Below are 16,945 nucleotides of genomic sequence, written 5' to 3'. Positions count from 1 at the left end.
TTCGAGCAGGGAAGAGCTTGGTCTGACATTTTAAAGGAATCCCTTTCTGGTCATTGTGCTAAGGACAGAAAAAAGCTCTCTGAGGCTTTGTCCGTCCACTCCTAAGTTTGGATAATGTCTTCCTTATGAGAAGTAGCAATAAATATTTGTTGGATGAGCACTTAGAAACATAAAATGAAAATCTTTTGGTGAGATATGGATATTTTATTCTTTGAAGTAGTACTTTCTTTTTCAAACCAATGTTACTTGAATGAGGCATTTTAATTGGTCGGTTTTAAAACATTTTAAACGCACTTTTTTGTCCTCTATTTGGAAAGATAAAATAATAAACCACAAGAAACCCCTGGTTTCTTCAGTCACACCAGAAAGAAATCACAGGCTTTAGTTATAATTAAAGTGACTGGAGGCTTTTTCTAATTTTACTAGGGGAGTGATGGCCGTGATCCAGCTTCCCTACTTTCCAATACACTCACTTTCTTCCTCTCTCTCCAAATATGTATCAAATTACTTACAAGAATAAAAGCCAGTAACTTCCCATAAAGTGGCCGTTGTGAAGCTCCTGGCCCATGCAGCCCCTGCCCCAGGCTGTCTGCCTGAAACTCATGATCCAGGCTTAATGCTGACCAGCTTGCTCACCTTTAGTCTGCAGTGATATTAATAAGCCCCATCTCACTTCTTAAGGCCCAAACACTTACCTTTGAATGTGTCAGAACTCTCAGCTGCCCGTGGATGGCCTGAATCTATGATTATATATCCTTTGCCTTCCGCATCCCACCTTCTAAAGCAGGCTTGCTCTTTTAGTTTTCATAGCTCATTTCCTCACTCGCCAACACCTATGTTTACTACCGTGCTGTCGTATTAACCATCTTCACTCACTCCAACCATGCATCTAGAAACAAGGCACATGTCTCCCATCACCTCAGGTGATTTCTCTGGCCCCTCAGGGCACTGACTCTAATGAGACAAGGACCTTTTAAAAGTCCCTTCTTTAATTCTGGTGTGCCATGGCTGCTCTATGAGTCTCCAGATCCCTTTTGGACTTCAGATCAGGAGGCTTCATGCCATTTGGAGCCTTGTGGCCTACAGAAGGCTCCCAAAGTACCAGCAGTAAATTTGCATCTTAAGCTGCCTAGGGACATTCTCAAGGCCACGAGGGAAAACAGTTCTTTAGCAAGAGCAAGTGACTTCCAGCCACTTATTTTCTAATAGCTGCAGTCTAGAAAATAACTTAGACAAGAAGGAACATGCAGAGATATTTTATGAAGAAATACCAACGAGAGTTTCAAATGTTATTCTGGAGATGTAAGAAGCTTCAAAATAAAAAAATTAAGTCCAGCTTCATTAAAAACTTTCTTGGTAATCTCCATTAATAAATATGTTAAGAAAGAAAACAATGCTTTTTAACATAAAAGTCCTAAAATAGCTAATATACATAATGGTTTATTGCTTTGATTATAGAAAAATAATATCAATACTTTAGCTAGATGTAGCAACTCTTTATCCACTGAATCCAACTAATACCATTGTGAAAAGTTGTTCGTAATATTGAGTAATTAAATGGAGAAAATCAATTTGGATTGCATTTACAAATAAGATACACAAATATAAAGAATCAGAGACCACATTTGAATTACTCTTAATAACTGAGGACATAAATAGAATTCATTAATAATCCTAAAATAATATATATTCTTCTGTTTGAAACTACTCCCCCACAACATAGATGTTAAGAGTTTATAACAAACAGTGAAAGAAACTTGAGTTTCTCTTTTTTATTCTCTGAGGCAAATGTGAGTGAAAAACAAAAATTCCAAAGGCCAGCCACAGAAGAGACAAAACAGGAGAAAAATTGAAGCTAGATAATTCACAAGAAGTTATTTCTCCAGTTGCTTTAACTTCATCAGAATAAAAGAAAGTTGGTTGTAATTGTTAGAAAATATTTTGCAGTTCCAGATCCCAAAAAGAGAGTTTCAGATGGATTACAGATTGACAAGATAACCACATTCTCAAACACATACACATACATGTATATGTGGAGTGAGATTGATTAAGTTTCTAATTTAATTAATCAGTGATTCAGAACATTAGTTGACCCCACAGGGCAGAAGCAGATGCATTCTTCCAGAATCTGGTTACTATGGTAACACTTGATATATGACCATGCAACCAGTAACAGTAAATTTCCTGACATCAGAGTCATGAATTTTTTTAGCACACATTTAGCCTAAGCTTTCAGCTTTTCAAATATTCAACTGGTTCCTATCCATTATATCCATAGGACTCACTCATTCACTTGCTTCAGATCTCTGATCAAATACTACCTTGTCTGATTCAGGCCCTCCATAAAAAGTATTCCCATAATTCTCTATCTTCTGGATCCCCTTTTACTTCACCAAAGTACTTATCATTATATTGTTAGCCCATTGTTTATTGTTTGTCTCCCTACATTAGCAAGTAAGTTTCATGAAAGCAAGGGCCCTGCCAGTTTTGTTCATGCCATATCATTAGAACAGTGCCTGGTAGATAGTAGCTCCTCATTAATATTTATCTAATAAGTGAATAAATGGGAAAAGAACAATTTGTGAAGAAGAGGTAATCATAAGAAGCCATTATTATATATTAGCTTTTTTAAGACTTTCATGTTAAAAACCATTGTTTTCATCCTTAACGTATTTATTAGTGGAGATTACTGAGAAAATTTTAAATGAAGCTGGACTCCATTTTTTCATTTAATAAAGCTTCTAAAATCTCCAAAATAACATTAGAAACTCTCATTAGTTTTTCTTCAGAAAATACCTCTTTGCATGTTCCTTGTTGTCTAGGTTATTTTCAGGACTACCACTGTTAGAAAATAAATGTCTGGAAGTCATTTGAGGTTCTATTTTAGATGTCTTGAAATTGAGAAGCTTGGAAACATAGGTTAAAATGGAGAAACAGATTTAGATACTACCCACCGAGGTGTGGTAAATGAAGCTAAATGAAACTGGTGAGAGTAGAGATTCATTTGATAAAGAAAAAGCACTCAAAGAGAAGAAAATGAGACTGAGTAGAGAATCCTCTGCAACACATGGTTTTGAGAGAAATACAGAAGAGGATTCTGTTAAAGGGATGGGGAAAAGGAATGGACCTCAGGGATGTAGTTCCAAGAGGCAGGAGACAGCCAATTAAGCCCAACCTTCCATGGAGTACCAGCCAGAGGAGGAGCAGCTGGACTGGGAGTAAGTCACTGATGACCTCTGAAATGCCAGTTGCCATGACATGGAGGAACAGAAACCAGGTTGCAGTACCTTGGAATCTGACAAGGACAGGAGTAGAAAGGAGAAGTTAGGGAGCCAACATTTTCTTTTGTGTCACCTGAGATAGATGGATGGATAAAATTTTCTCCCCACAACCAAGACAGCAAATACATTGTAGCTGAGATCATGGGGTTAAAATGGTAAAAAAAAAAAAAAAAAAAAAAAAAAAAAAAACACTTTTCTAGGGGGCAGGGCCAAGATGGCTTACTAGAAGCAGCATTGTTCAGAAGCTCCCATCAAAAAAAAAAAAAAAAAATCATAATAAGCATGTGAATCCTTCACCGGCAACCAAGGTATCCAGGTTCCCTCATCAAAATTGACTAGAAGGCTGGCAAGACCCACGAGAGAAGGAAGAGCAGTGTGCTGCAGCAGCCCACCTGATAGCCACACAGGGAAGGGCAATCCCCTCCCACCAGAGAAGGGAGGCAGTGAGTGAGCATGCTACTCAGCTGGGGAAACTGTGCTTTTTCCACGGAACTGTGCAACCCACAGATCAGAAGATCCCACTTGCAAACCCATGCCACTGGGATCTAGCATCCCAACCCCAGAACTCGCAGATTCTTATAGCCTCTCAGCTGGAATCTGTTCAAGCCTAATGAACTCCCAGAAGGAGGAGCAACCAGCACCTGCTGCCACTGCCTGCTGTCTAAGCCATTTGAGCTCCTTGGGGAAGAGGCAGCAGCCAGCACTGGGACTCACAACTGCCTAACACGCAAAGCTCCCTAGGCAAGGGAAAGGCGGCACCCATTTCTATAGCTCCAGGCTGCGCTTTTTCCCCTGCTGGGGCCAGGGAGGCTGGATGGCTTGGTCCCAATTCTTGTCCCCACAGCCCAACGCATTGGCTGTGTCAGTCGGTGGCCAGAGTGCCTCTTCAGGTCTAACCCTGACCCATCCTTCAGTGGGTAGGGCTTCCCTGCAGGATCTCCAATAACTCCAGCCAGAGGCTCAGGGACAGAATTCAGATCTCCCTGGGCCTGAGCTCCTCGGGAGGGGTGGCTGCAGTCTCTAAGGACCAGCAGACTTAGCCTCTCCTCCTGGTCGTTCTGAGGAATCCAGGCAACCTAGAGAAGTGGGTTTCCCCCCAGCACAACACACCCTCTCCACCAAGGGACAAAGTGCTTTGTTAAATTAGTCCTGCTCCCTGTGCCACCCAACTGGGTGAGACCTTCCAACAGGGTTTGTCAGACACCCTATACAGGAGCAATCCTACTGGCATCAGGGGTTGGGGCCTCTCAAGGTCAGAGGTCCCAGAAGAAGGAGGAGACACCCATCTTTGCTGCTGTCCAGCCTCCTTGAGTGACATCTCCAGGCATGGGAGCAAATCAGATGAATAAGGCCTGAAGTGAACCCCCAGCCAACTGCAGCAGCCCTACAGAAGAGGGTCCTGACTATTGAAAGAAAACAAACATGCAGAAAGTGACCACAACAGCATCAACAACAACAGTAAGTCCCCACAAAAAAACCCCATCCAAGGATCAGCAGCCTCAAAGATTGAAACTAGACAAACTCATGAAGATGAGAATTGATGAAAAAATGCTGAAAACCCAAAAGGCCAGAGTATGCCTTCTCCTTCAAATGATTGCAACATCTCTCCATCAAGGGCACAGAACTAGACGGAGGATCAGATAGACGAACTGACAGAAGTAGACTTCAGAAGATGGGTAATAAAAAAACAACAATGAGCTAAACAAGCATGTTCTAACCCAATGCAAAGAAGCTAAGAACCTTGATAAAAGGTTAGAGTAATTACTAGCTAGAATAACCAGTTTACAGAGGAACATAAAGGACCTGATGGAGCTAAAAAAACACAGCACAAGAACTTCTTAAAGCATACACAAGTATCAACAGCCAAATCAACCAAGCAGAAGAAAGGATATCAGAGTCTGAAGACCACCTTACTGAAATAAGACATGCAGGCAAGAACAGAGAAAAAAAGAATAAAAAGGAATGAACAAAGCCTCCAAGAAATATGAGATTTCTTTAAAAGACCGAACCTACGATTGATTGGAGTACCAGAAGGAGACAGGGAGAATAGAAACAAGCTGGGAAACACACTGCAGAATATTATCCAGGAGAACTTCCCCAACCTAGCAAGACAGGCCAACTTGCAAATTCAGCAAATACAGAGAAAACCATTGGATACACCATGAGAAGATTAACCCAAAGACACATAATCATCAGATTCTCCAAGGTCAAAGGAAAAACTGTTAAGGGCAGCCATAGAGAAAGGTCAGGGCACCTTACAAAGGGAAGCCCTTCAGTTCTTTGAAACCAATGAGAATGAGGAGACAATGTACCAGAATCTCTGGGACACAGCTAAAGCAGTGTTAAGAGGGAAATTTATAACACTAAATGCCCACACCAGAAAGCTGGAAAGATCTCAAATCAGCATCCTAACATCACAAGTAAAAGAGCTAGAGAAGCAAGAGCAAACTAATCCAAAAGCTAGCATAAGACAAGAAAAAACTAAGATCAGAGCAGAATTGAAGGAATTAGAGACATGAAAAACCCTCCAAAAAATAAATGAATCCAGGAGCTGGTTTTTTGAAAAAATTAAAAAAACAAATAGACTGCTAGCTAGACTAATGAAGAAGAGAGAGAAGAATCAAATAGACACAATAAAAACGATAAAGGGGATATCACCACTGACCCCACAGAAATACAAACTACCATCAGAGAATACTATAAATACCTCTATGCAAATAAACTAGAAAATCTAGAAGAAATGAATAAATTCCTGAACATACACACCCTACTAAGACTAAACCAGAAAGAAGTCGAATCCCTGAATAGACCAATAGCAAGTTCTGAAATTGAAGCAGTAATTAATAGTCTACTGGCAAAAAAAAAGTCCAGGACCAGATGGATTCACAGCTGAATTCTACCATAAATACAAAGGAGCTGGTACCATTCCTTCTGAAACTATTCCAAATAATTCAAAAGGAGGGACTCCTCGCTCATTTTATGAAGCCAGCATCATCCTGATACCAAAACAGGGAAGAGACACAACAAAAAAAGAAAACTGATGAACATGGATGCGAAAATCCTCAGTAAAACACTGGCAAACTGAATCCAATAGGACATCAAAAAATTTATCCACCACGATCAAGTCAGCTTCATTCCTGGGATGCAAGGCTGGTTCAACATAACAAATCAATAAATGTAATCCATCACATAAACAGAACCAATGACAAAAAACACATGATTATCTCAATATATGCAGAAAAGGCCTTTGATAAAATTCAATATCCTTCATGTTAAAAATTTTCAATAAACTAGGTATTGATGGAACATATCTAAAAATAATAAGACAAATCCACAGCAAATATCATATTGAATGGGCAAGAGCTGGAAGCATTCCCTTTGAAAACTGGTACAAGACAAGGATGCCTTCTCTCACCCCTCCTATTCAACATAGTATTGGAAGTTCTGGCCAGGGCAATCAGGCAAGAGAAAAAAATAAAGGGTATTCAAATAGGAAGAGAGGAAGTCAAGTTGTTTCTGTTTGCAGAAGACATGATTTTATATTTAGAAAACCCCATCATCTCAGCCCAACTTCTTGAACTGATAAGCAACTTCAGCAGTCTCAGGATACAAAATCAATGTGCAAAAATCACAAGCATTCCTATACACCAATAATAGACAAGCAGAGAACCAAATCATGAGTGAACTCCCATTCACAATTGCTACAAAGAAAATAAAATACCTTGGAATACAACTTACAAGGGACATGAAAGCCCTCTTCAAGGAGAACTACAAACCATTGTTCAAGGAAATAAGAGAGGACACAAACAAATGGAAAAACATTCCATCCTCATGAATAGGAAGAATCAATATCATGAAAATGGCCATACTGCCCAAAGTAATTTATAGATTTGATGCTATTCCCATCAAACTACCATTGACATTCTTCACAGAAATAAAAAAAAACTATTTTAAATTTCATATGGAATCACAGAAGACCCTGTACAGCCAAGACAATCCTAAGCAAAAAGAACAAAGCTACAGGCATCATGCTACCTGACTTCAAACTATACTACAAGGACACAGTAATCAAAACAGCATTGTACTGGTACCAAAACAGACAGATAGACCAATGGAGCAGAACAGAGGCCTCAGAAATAATACCACACATCTACAACCATCTGATCTTTGACAAACCTGAAAAAAACAAGCAATGGGGCAAGATCTCCTATTCAGTAAATGGTGCTGGGAGAACTGGCTAGCCATATGCAGAACACTGAAACTGGACCCCTTCCTTACACCTTATACAAAAACTAACTCAAGATGGATTAAAGACTTAATGTAAGACTTAAAACCATAAAAACCCCAGAAGAAAACCTAGGCAATACTATTCAGGACATAGGCATGGGCAAAGATTTCATGACAAAATGACATAAGCTACTGCAACAAAAGGCAAAATTGACAAACAGGATCTAATTAAACTAAAGAGCTTCTAGAAGCACAGCAAAAGAAATTATTATCAGAGTGAACAGGCAACCAACAGAATGGGACCAAAATTTTGCAATCGACCCATCTGACAAAGGTCTAATATCCAGAATTTACAAGGAACTTAAACAAATTTACAAGAAAAAGACCAACAACCCCATCAAAAAGTGGGCAAAGGATATGAACAGATGCTTCTCAAAAGAAGACATTTATGTGGCCAACAAACATATGAAGAAAAGCTCAACATCACTGATCATCAGAGAAATGCAAATCAAAACCACAATGAGATAATCTCACTCCACTTAGAATGGTGATTATTAAAAAGTCAGGGAACAATAGATGCTGGTGAGGCTGTGGAGAAATAGGAATGCTTTTACACTGTTGGTGAGCGTTCCACTGTTGCTGGGAGTGTAAATTAGTTCAACCATTCTGGAAGACAGTGTGGCTATTCCTCAAAGATCTAGAACCAGAAATACCATTTGACCCAGCAATCCCATTACTGGGTATATACCCAAAGGATTATAAATCATTCTACTATAAAGACACATGCACACGTATGTTTATTGTAGCACTATTTACAATAGCAAAGACATGGAACCAACCAAAATGCCCATCAATGATAGAATGGATAAAGAAAATATGGTACATATACACCATGGAATACTATGCAGCCATAAAAAATGAATGAGATCATGTCCTTTGCAGGCACTTGTGTAAAGCTAGAAGCCATCATCCTCAGCAAACCAGCACGGGAACAGAAAACCAAACACCACATGTTCTCACTCATAAGTGGGAGTTGAACGTTGAGAACACATGGACACAGAAAGGGGAACATTACATGCCAGAACCTGCTGGGGGATAGGGGATGAGGGGAGGGGACTTATAGGATGGATCAATAGGGGCGGCAAACCACCATGGCACCCGTATACCTATGTAACAAACCTGCATGGTCTGCACATGTATCCCAGTTTTTTTTTTTTAGAAGAAATAAAGAAAAAAAACAAAAACACTTTTTCAACAGCTTAGGTTATAAGAAATTATTTCCCTAATCAAAATCAATCTACTGAGCAATTTTCCCTCAAAATAAGCACACATACTTTACCCCTGTAACGCATTTTTGATGAGCTCATTTGTACTTGGTTTTTTATTTTTGTTTAAAATGCATTCTTGGTTAATGGAGCCTTTAGAAAGTTACCTTGAGGCCCCATCTCTGTCTCAGTGGGGCCTGAACTTTGCTCTCTGGTTTGAGGATCTCTTTGCTGTGCTCCATTGATTTCATTTCTCAGTTATGCCAGAGGCAACTCTGATGCATAAAGAACCTGAATTAAACTCATAAAAGGCCTTGCTAGGAAGGTAACCTGATAATAACTACCTGGAAGATGAGAGACTCCACTCAGCTTTCCACCAGAAGGACCATACGTAGTGACAAGAAGAAATAGATTTCTGGTGGGGTTTAAATATGAAATTATAATGACATTTCTCACTTTTCTGAACATGCAGCAGCTTTATCTAAGTCTATCCTGTGGTTCTCAAACTAGAGCATGCAAAGAGATCACGTGGAGGGTTTGTTAAAATAGCGATTTCTGGGCCACACTCCCAAAGTTTCTAATTCAGTGCTTCTGGAGTGGAGCCAGATAATTTGTATTTCTAACACGTTCTCAACTGATGTGGATGGTGCTGAGTAGAACACAATTCCAAGAACCACTGGTCTGTGCAAAGCACACCACATATTTTCATAACTTATTTTTCTACTTTTCTGTTGTCCTTAAAGAAAATGAGCACAATTCTCATTTCTGAACTACTGCCTCGGCAGTTTGTCGTGTAAAAAGTTTTTTTAAAACGAGAAAAAAAAATTAAAAACAGTCACAAAGTGATATTAGGGGTTATCAAACCTGAGTTTCCAGGCTTCTACTCATTTTTTCTGTGAAGGTCAGTAGATATTAGTGCCTCAAATGAAATCACACAAATATAATACGACTATCTAGCACAAAACAGTGATTCCTTTTCAATTGCAAAACATTCATAAAATAAATACTTTTCCCCGTCAAAGTCTCTTAATACTCACCTAGAAAAAGGGGAGTGGTAGTCATAAAACAGCAGGAAAAAATAACTCACTTGCCACACAAATCTTTATTTTTCAATTTTTTTTTGTACTTTTTTAAGCCAAAAAAAGCACACCTAGAATCTAAGCAAGCTGAAGGCAGATTGTAGTGCTTAGATTGGGAACGTTATAATGGAATTATTTTTCTTCCTTTATTTAATGTGTTGACAAAGAGAACAGGCATGGTATCTTAAGTAGGGCATAATCTGTGTATGCAGAGCTGACAGGGCAAGTGGAGTGAGGCTATGAATGAGCACCTCACCTGTTCTACACCTGAGCAATTCCAAAGAGGTTAGGGTCACGTTGAGTAAAACATTTGTAAGAACAAATTAATACTTGGAGAGGCACCAGCTTCAGATTCTTGCTTATCTTCCAGTCCTAAAAAGTAAAGATTAAAAATAAAATTTAGGCAGTGTTCAATAAGTATTTTTCATTAAAATAAATATTTGCTTTCTCAGAGGTTTCAGAACATTGACTTCTAAAGACGCACTATTCTATTTATGCTTGATTTGCTCTTTTCTCACACATAAAAACACAAACTTAACTAGCTAAGAAAATCATACTCAAATGCTAAACAAAATCCAAATGATGAAAGATTATGTGTGCTTTTATTCAAACATATCATTATGTAGTCTAACCATAAAGTGTTTGAAATGAAGGTGAAAAAATGATACAGAATCTACATGAACCTGACTTTTGTCCTTCAGGGGTATTAAATTGATCAATCAGCAAATACGTACTGAACTTCTTAATGGGTATCTTGGTTTTACCTGCCCAGCATGCAGTTGCCATGGAAATTAATCTTCCTAAAATTCTTTGTTCACTGTCTGTACTATTCATTAAGATCTTCACTGGCTGGGTCTCAGGCAAGTTGCCTAATACATGAATTAAATTTTTGTACTTCAAAATAATTTGTACAAAATAAGCAGTCAAAATCCTGTTAGCCAATTTAGTGCACATATATTGACCATTTATGTTTGAAATAATGGTAACCTCAAAAGCTTACCATTTCTATGTTTTATAATCATGTCCTGAAATCAACACAGCTCTCAGTGAGAGAATCCAAAAGATTTCCACAACTGGTAACTGGGAAATATTTAATTGGTTGATAACGCTGCTTAGTTTTACCATGAAACCATTTGGCCAACACCATCACAACCCACAATGAGAGATTTGATTGCTGTTCTGTTCACTCTTCCACAAAAGAACTCTGAGATCCTATTGAAAGGTTCAGACAGGTAAGCACAGTTATTGATCCACCCTTGAGAGAGTAACAGCCTTCTAACCCTGGTGATGTATCAGCAGGGAGCCAAAGTCATAAGTCACATCCCCTTCACACAGACCTCCAACAGTGGCTGTGAAGCACTTAGAGGATACACAGCACTATCCTAACTGTAAAATATTTTGGATGAAGGTGAAAAATGGTATAGAATATCTACAAACCTGACTTTTTTCCTACAAAGATATTAATTCATCAATCAGCAAACAGGTTCTGAACTCCTCAGTGGACGTCTTGGTTTTTCCTGTCTGGGATCCATTTCCCATTGTGCTGGCACAAAAGCCCTGTTTTTCCTTTGGGCAACTACCACTCCTCCAATCTCAGTGCATATGCTGGGGGAGTGAGAGAGCAACTTTTCTCACTCCCTGGCTCAATATATGACCATGTAACTGCGGCCCAGGCAATGACTCAATTGCTTCCCTCTGACAATGGTGATTAGTCTGGGGTAAGCACATAAGGCAAGACAGTTCAAGGAAGCCAATGAACATCAGCCCCAGGACATTCTCTGCATCTATTGGGAGAAGGAAGCTCTCCCTTTACTCCCAAAAGACACAATTTAGGCAGCAGCCACTGGAAAACAAAGCCAAAACAAAGGAATGCAGAGATAATAAATAAAGGACAGATTCCTAATGATAAATTTGGAAACCTAATTTAGACATGACAAAATCTTCAGCCAGATTCATCCCTGGACCTTCTTCATTGCTTAAGTTGGTATATGAGTTGGGTTTCTTTAATTTGCAACCACGAGTCCTGACAAATTATAAGTTACCTAAAATCTGCACATTAGGCAAAGTGTCAGGCTACAAAGATATACAGCAAACAATCCCTGCCTCTAAGAATCTTAGCATCTAGTTGGAAAGACAATAATCATACACACACACACAAATAGAAACATATGGCTCAGCCCAAGGATAGGTTCTATATGAGTGCAGAGACAGGAGACACCATAGGCTGCATATTAAGCAAGATTTCACAATATAAGAAAAAGGTGAGCTGGGTTTTGAAGGTTGACTAGAATGTGTCTGCCTGGGGAGAAACCAAAAGGACATTTCGGGGAGGGTGAACTATGAGAGCATAAATTCAAGAATGTGCACATTGTATTGGGGAAACAATACAGTATAAACTATAAATAGACCATAAAATGTTAAATCATGGGATATCAACAATACATTAGTCCAGAAATAAAAAGATTTCATAAGTATTTTTGAATGACAGACACATATAATATTTTAAATCTACTATATAAGATATAATATTGATTCCCTAACTAGATTATAATGATTAAGTGATGAAATTGTGGTTGGAGAACAAATGGCAAAAGACAGGCTAAATATGGTCTTTTCCTTTTCCATATACTAGACAACCGTCTCACCCAACCAGTTAATCCTGCCTACTTCTGTAACATATCTCAGCTAGAATTAAAGAACTATTGAAAATAAAACATGCTACATACATTTTCCTCAGCTCCTCTTTAAGAAACCTGAACAATTAATAGAGCCAAGAACCAAGAGGAGGAAGTTAGAGAAAGAAACAAATATAAACTAAGGAAACAAGTTCGACATCTGATTTGCTTTGTCCAGTTTCTTCATGAGGTGAAAAGTTTATAATAGAAAGTATTAAAGGCATTTTCTATTTCCAGTGTGGTTTTAGCCATTTCCCTTGTGTCATTAGGACATCGCATGGGCAGAGTTTAGGTTGGCTCTTATTGCAAGCAGGAATGCAAAGTGTCTGTGTCCCTCTTTCCCCTTCTTGGGGGAAACATTGTTTAGTTAATTATAATAAAATGAATATTTTGGTGAGATTTTTAGAAGTCTATTAAATGCCCGTTGTTAGTTTTATAGTGAACATGAAACTTTGAAGGTGATTATTCTCCAACTTAATAATTTCTATTTCTTATACAATATTTTTCAGGGCTATGAATTGTTTTCTAGAAATTTAACTTAGAAAAACAACTCAGCATAATTTCTTGGTATTACACTTTTCCATCTAGATTCATCATCTCTAGTAATGTTTGCATAACATGAAATTCTCGTACCACCTTAACACTTGCTGCCCTTTTAAATTTGTATTTCTATTTGTGGCATTATTGCAACTGTTTCTACTGGTACGACATATGTCCATTTGAAATGAGCATGTTACAAAGGAATAAGACACTCCCTGTTATAGAGGACCTCTCTTCACAAACCTCAATTAACAAAACCTCATGATTTTGTCAAAGACAAATACTGCTTTTGTCATTGTTTATAGATAGAGATCAAAGCACTCAATGAAATATCCTTTCTGTCAAGCCAAGGTCAGTGAATAGGAAAAGGAGTTGGTCTGTGATTATATATGCTTTTATTTTGAAAAAATATCATTTTAGCAAAAAGCTTTAAAAAGTAAAATGCTATAATACAGTTTACTTTTTCACCATTAATATTTGCATTATTTTCTAAAGCAAACAAACACATGATTATATTCTCTACGTGTTTTTTAAAAAGTAGTTTTCCACTTTAAATTCAAATATTACTCTTTGCTAAGTTTTATGTTTGTTGAATGGTAGAATTGAGAAATTTTTAAAAATCATTCAACATAATTGGTAACCATCACTGCCATATTTTAAACTTTGAGAAATTAAAAATTATTGCAATATATATTTATATGGCACAGTAAAAAGTTTGGATAAGATTTCAATATTATATGAAGCACAAGGAATAGAAAAAGAGCATAAGATGGTTTCCTGTTTTCTCAGGAAAATGTATCTCAGTAGGCAAAATAATGTCCCCCCAAAGATGTCCACATCCTAATTCCTGAAATTCATGAATATGCATGTCACCTCACATAGCAAAAGGGACATTGCAAGTTGGGTTAAATTAAGGACCTTGAGATAAGGAAGTTACCCTGGACTACCTAGGTGGGCGCCATGTAATCACAAGAGTTGTTAAAGTGGAAGAAGGAGATAAAAGAGAAGGTCCAAGTGAGGTGATATGAGAAGGCCTAGATCAGCCAATACTGACTTTGAAGATGGAAGAAAGGAACCATGAGCCAATGGATATGGGGAGCCTCTAGAAGCTGTCAAGGGCCAGAAAATGGTTCCCCCCAGGAGCCTCCAGATGGAAACCCAGCCTGCAAAATCTTGATTTTTGCCCAGTGAGACCCATGTTGAATTTCTGATCTACTTGACTGTAAAAAAAAAAAAAAAATTTCTGTCAAGTCACCAAGCTTTGGGAAATTTGTTAACAGCTTCAATGGAAAACTAATACTGTTATCATGTTCCAAATTAGCAGGACTTGAAAAGCATAACAATGGCAGCCCTCCCTGCTTATGGAATCAATGCATTTTCATGCTAGAAGAGACTGGTCTAATCCCTTCATTGTCCAAATGAGGAAATTAGTCCTGATATAGTAAGGTAGATGACTTACCTTAGGCCTCATATTTCAAGGTAGAGACAAGATTAGAATCTAAGTTCACTAAATTATAGCTTAGTGTTAGTCATTGTATGATTCCCAGGCTCTTTCATTAATGAGGGTTTCTATTATAGCTTAATAGCAACTACAGAATGGTTTAGAAGAATGAACAGTTGTTGGAAAGTGCACATGTTTTCAAATAACATACTGAAGAAGTATATTTCTTTTCCATGCCAGTCTGTCTCCAACTGAGGGTTAAACGTATTCACTTGAATTATCCAGGCATCACTTGAAACTCAACATGTCTAAGATACAACTTGGGGTCTTGCCTCCCAAACCAGCTCCCTTCTGGACTCTTTCTCCTTCACACCCCTCAGAGGTTTCCCATGCTCAATCAATCAACAATTTATATTGTCCTTCCTTCCTTATGATACTTTCCTTGCTTTTCCACCACCACACCTTACACCCACAGTAGGAAACCACTCTAACTAGCCTCTTATCTTCAGCTTCTCTTCTCTTCAAACTTCAACTAAGCCAGCACACTATTGCCAAGTGACTCTTTCTAAAACACACACACACGAACACATATATATCTCACCGGTTTTCCCCCACATGTTCAGTAGGGTTTCATTTCCAAACAAGATCAAGTTCAAACCCCTTACTTAATCTAATCCTTTGACAGGTTCATGGCATGTGACCTCAACTTTTTAATAATGTCTCCTCCTGCCACTCCTATCCACAAACCAACCTAACTGATTCACTGCCCTATGAACATGATTTATTCTCCTCCTTACCATTCTCTTCTCCTAAAACATTCTGTTTACTTTCTTCTCCATGTATCTGAATTCCACCTATTTCAAGGCTATATACAAGTCCTGTGTTTCTAGGCACTTCCCAAACCAGACAACCTACAGTGATCTCATCTTCCACTTTGAATCCTAAAGCAATTGGTCTCTATCACTCATTTAATATCTAGATTTTATTGCTAATATCTTTTACCTCTTTAGCATTTAAACTCAAATTTTAAACCATTTGGAACAGACTAGGTCTCCTACTTATTCGCATTGTACTTAGCATTCAGTTCCCTGCTTAAAGCAGGCCCTCAAAAATTTATGGAATGACTAAATATAATTTATCACTGCCATGCCACAGTGATAAGTGACATGAGTACTGCTCTGAAGTTAACTACTCCATTTAGCAAGGGTAACCATACATTGGGATTTGCCAAGGACAGTCCTGGTTTCCTGTTGTTTTTACAGCTATTAATAAAATCCACTTTTACTCTCAAAAGCATCTTGGCTTAGACGACACATTATATGGTCATTCCACCCTTAGGGCAATTTGGACTGTGATAAGAACAGAAACGACAAAGAAAATCCCATCATGTTCCAGCCAGCCACCCAGCTAAGCAGCATTCCCTTCCCCACACAGTGGTCCTGCTCTCCCACAGCACCCCCTGCATAATCAATATCCTCTGAATTTCACAAGGAATTTTCAACATTTTGATGATACACAGCTTCAGAAAACTAAACTAAAGCTCAATAAAATGTAAGATTATTTAGAAGAAAAAAAATTATAGATACAGAATACTACTGTGACTGTATCCAGCAGTTTGAGAACAAAAGGGAGAGTTCTCCGAAAGGGTAAGAGTATTCGAGGAGTTCTCACAGGAGTAAAAGTAATCAAGACACAGTGTATGAGCTCATGTTTATACTCTAATTGTTTTGTTATTTTTGGAATAAAACAATAAGAAATATATATCCATTTTAATATTTCTAAATAAATACTTATGACTTTCATGGCTGTTTAGAATTAGAAATGTGATGCTTTCTGATCCTCTTAGTACCTAATGTACATTAAATTGACTAACCACGGCATAAATGTTTTAAAACCTACATTCATTTTCACAGTTGACTGGTTGAAATGATCAGTTTCATAAATGAATGTCAGTGGTATCTTAACAGTAATAACTTTTTACTACAAAGTAAGATTTTACTTTATAAGTAATGAGTAAAATTATTAAATGTAATCTTATGTTTCATTACTGGCAGCTTGTCATAAAAAAGGAATTAAAGTTACAAATTTTCATTTATTTTCATAAAGTAAATGAACGTTTTCACTCATTTATAGGGAGACCTACGCAGTCTAATCTCTTTTGAGGGTAGTTTTAATTACATTACATCATTTAATACAGGGTTGAGAGTTCATGTTCCAAACCATTCCCTCCCTAAACTATTCAACTTTAAAGGAATCTGGGGAAATGTTAAGTTCAACTAACGAAACTATAAGAAATGAAAACTATTAAATGCATATCTTGGGCACAGGATCACTCAAGTGTTTGGAAAGAATTTTATGAGACTATTTAGGTTAGGTCTAAGTCATTGTTCAAATACAGACAAAGTTAGTAGTAACTAAAAAGGATAATTTGTGTTGC

General features: G+C 37.8%; 2 protein-coding genes across 5 annotated transcripts in view; both read right to left on the bottom strand.

The window, feature by feature from the left end:
• The window catches only part of SLC26A7 (solute carrier family 26 member 7), a 188,660-nt gene that overhangs the window by 169,042 nt on the left and 2,673 nt on the right, over positions 1–16,945 (bottom strand). For both annotated transcript variants that reach the window (NM_001282356.2, NM_001282357.2), the window contains exon 2: positions 10,109–10,224. The gene's annotated coding sequence lies outside the window, so the exon portion shown is untranslated. The remainder of the gene's footprint in view (positions 1–10,108; positions 10,225–16,945) is intronic.
• The window catches only part of LRRC69 (leucine rich repeat containing 69), a 116,639-nt gene continuing 109,550 nt past the window's right edge, over positions 9,857–16,945 (bottom strand). For all 3 annotated transcript variants that reach the window (NR_148895.2, NM_001129890.2, NM_001354470.2), the window contains one exon: positions 9,857–10,224. Coding sequence is in view for 2 of the 3 variants with exons in the window: in NM_001129890.2 (NP_001123362.1) it covers positions 10,114–10,224 (111 nt within the window). In the remaining variant the exon portion in view is untranslated. The remainder of the gene's footprint in view (positions 10,225–16,945) is intronic.

Source organism: Homo sapiens, chromosome 8 (genome assembly GCF_000001405.40).
Source record: "Homo sapiens chromosome 8, GRCh38.p14 Primary Assembly".
Taxonomy (NCBI): domain Eukaryota; kingdom Metazoa; phylum Chordata; class Mammalia; order Primates; family Hominidae; genus Homo; species Homo sapiens.
Note: the sequence above shows the minus strand (reverse complement) of the source record. Positions and strands in the feature narration are given on the sequence as shown.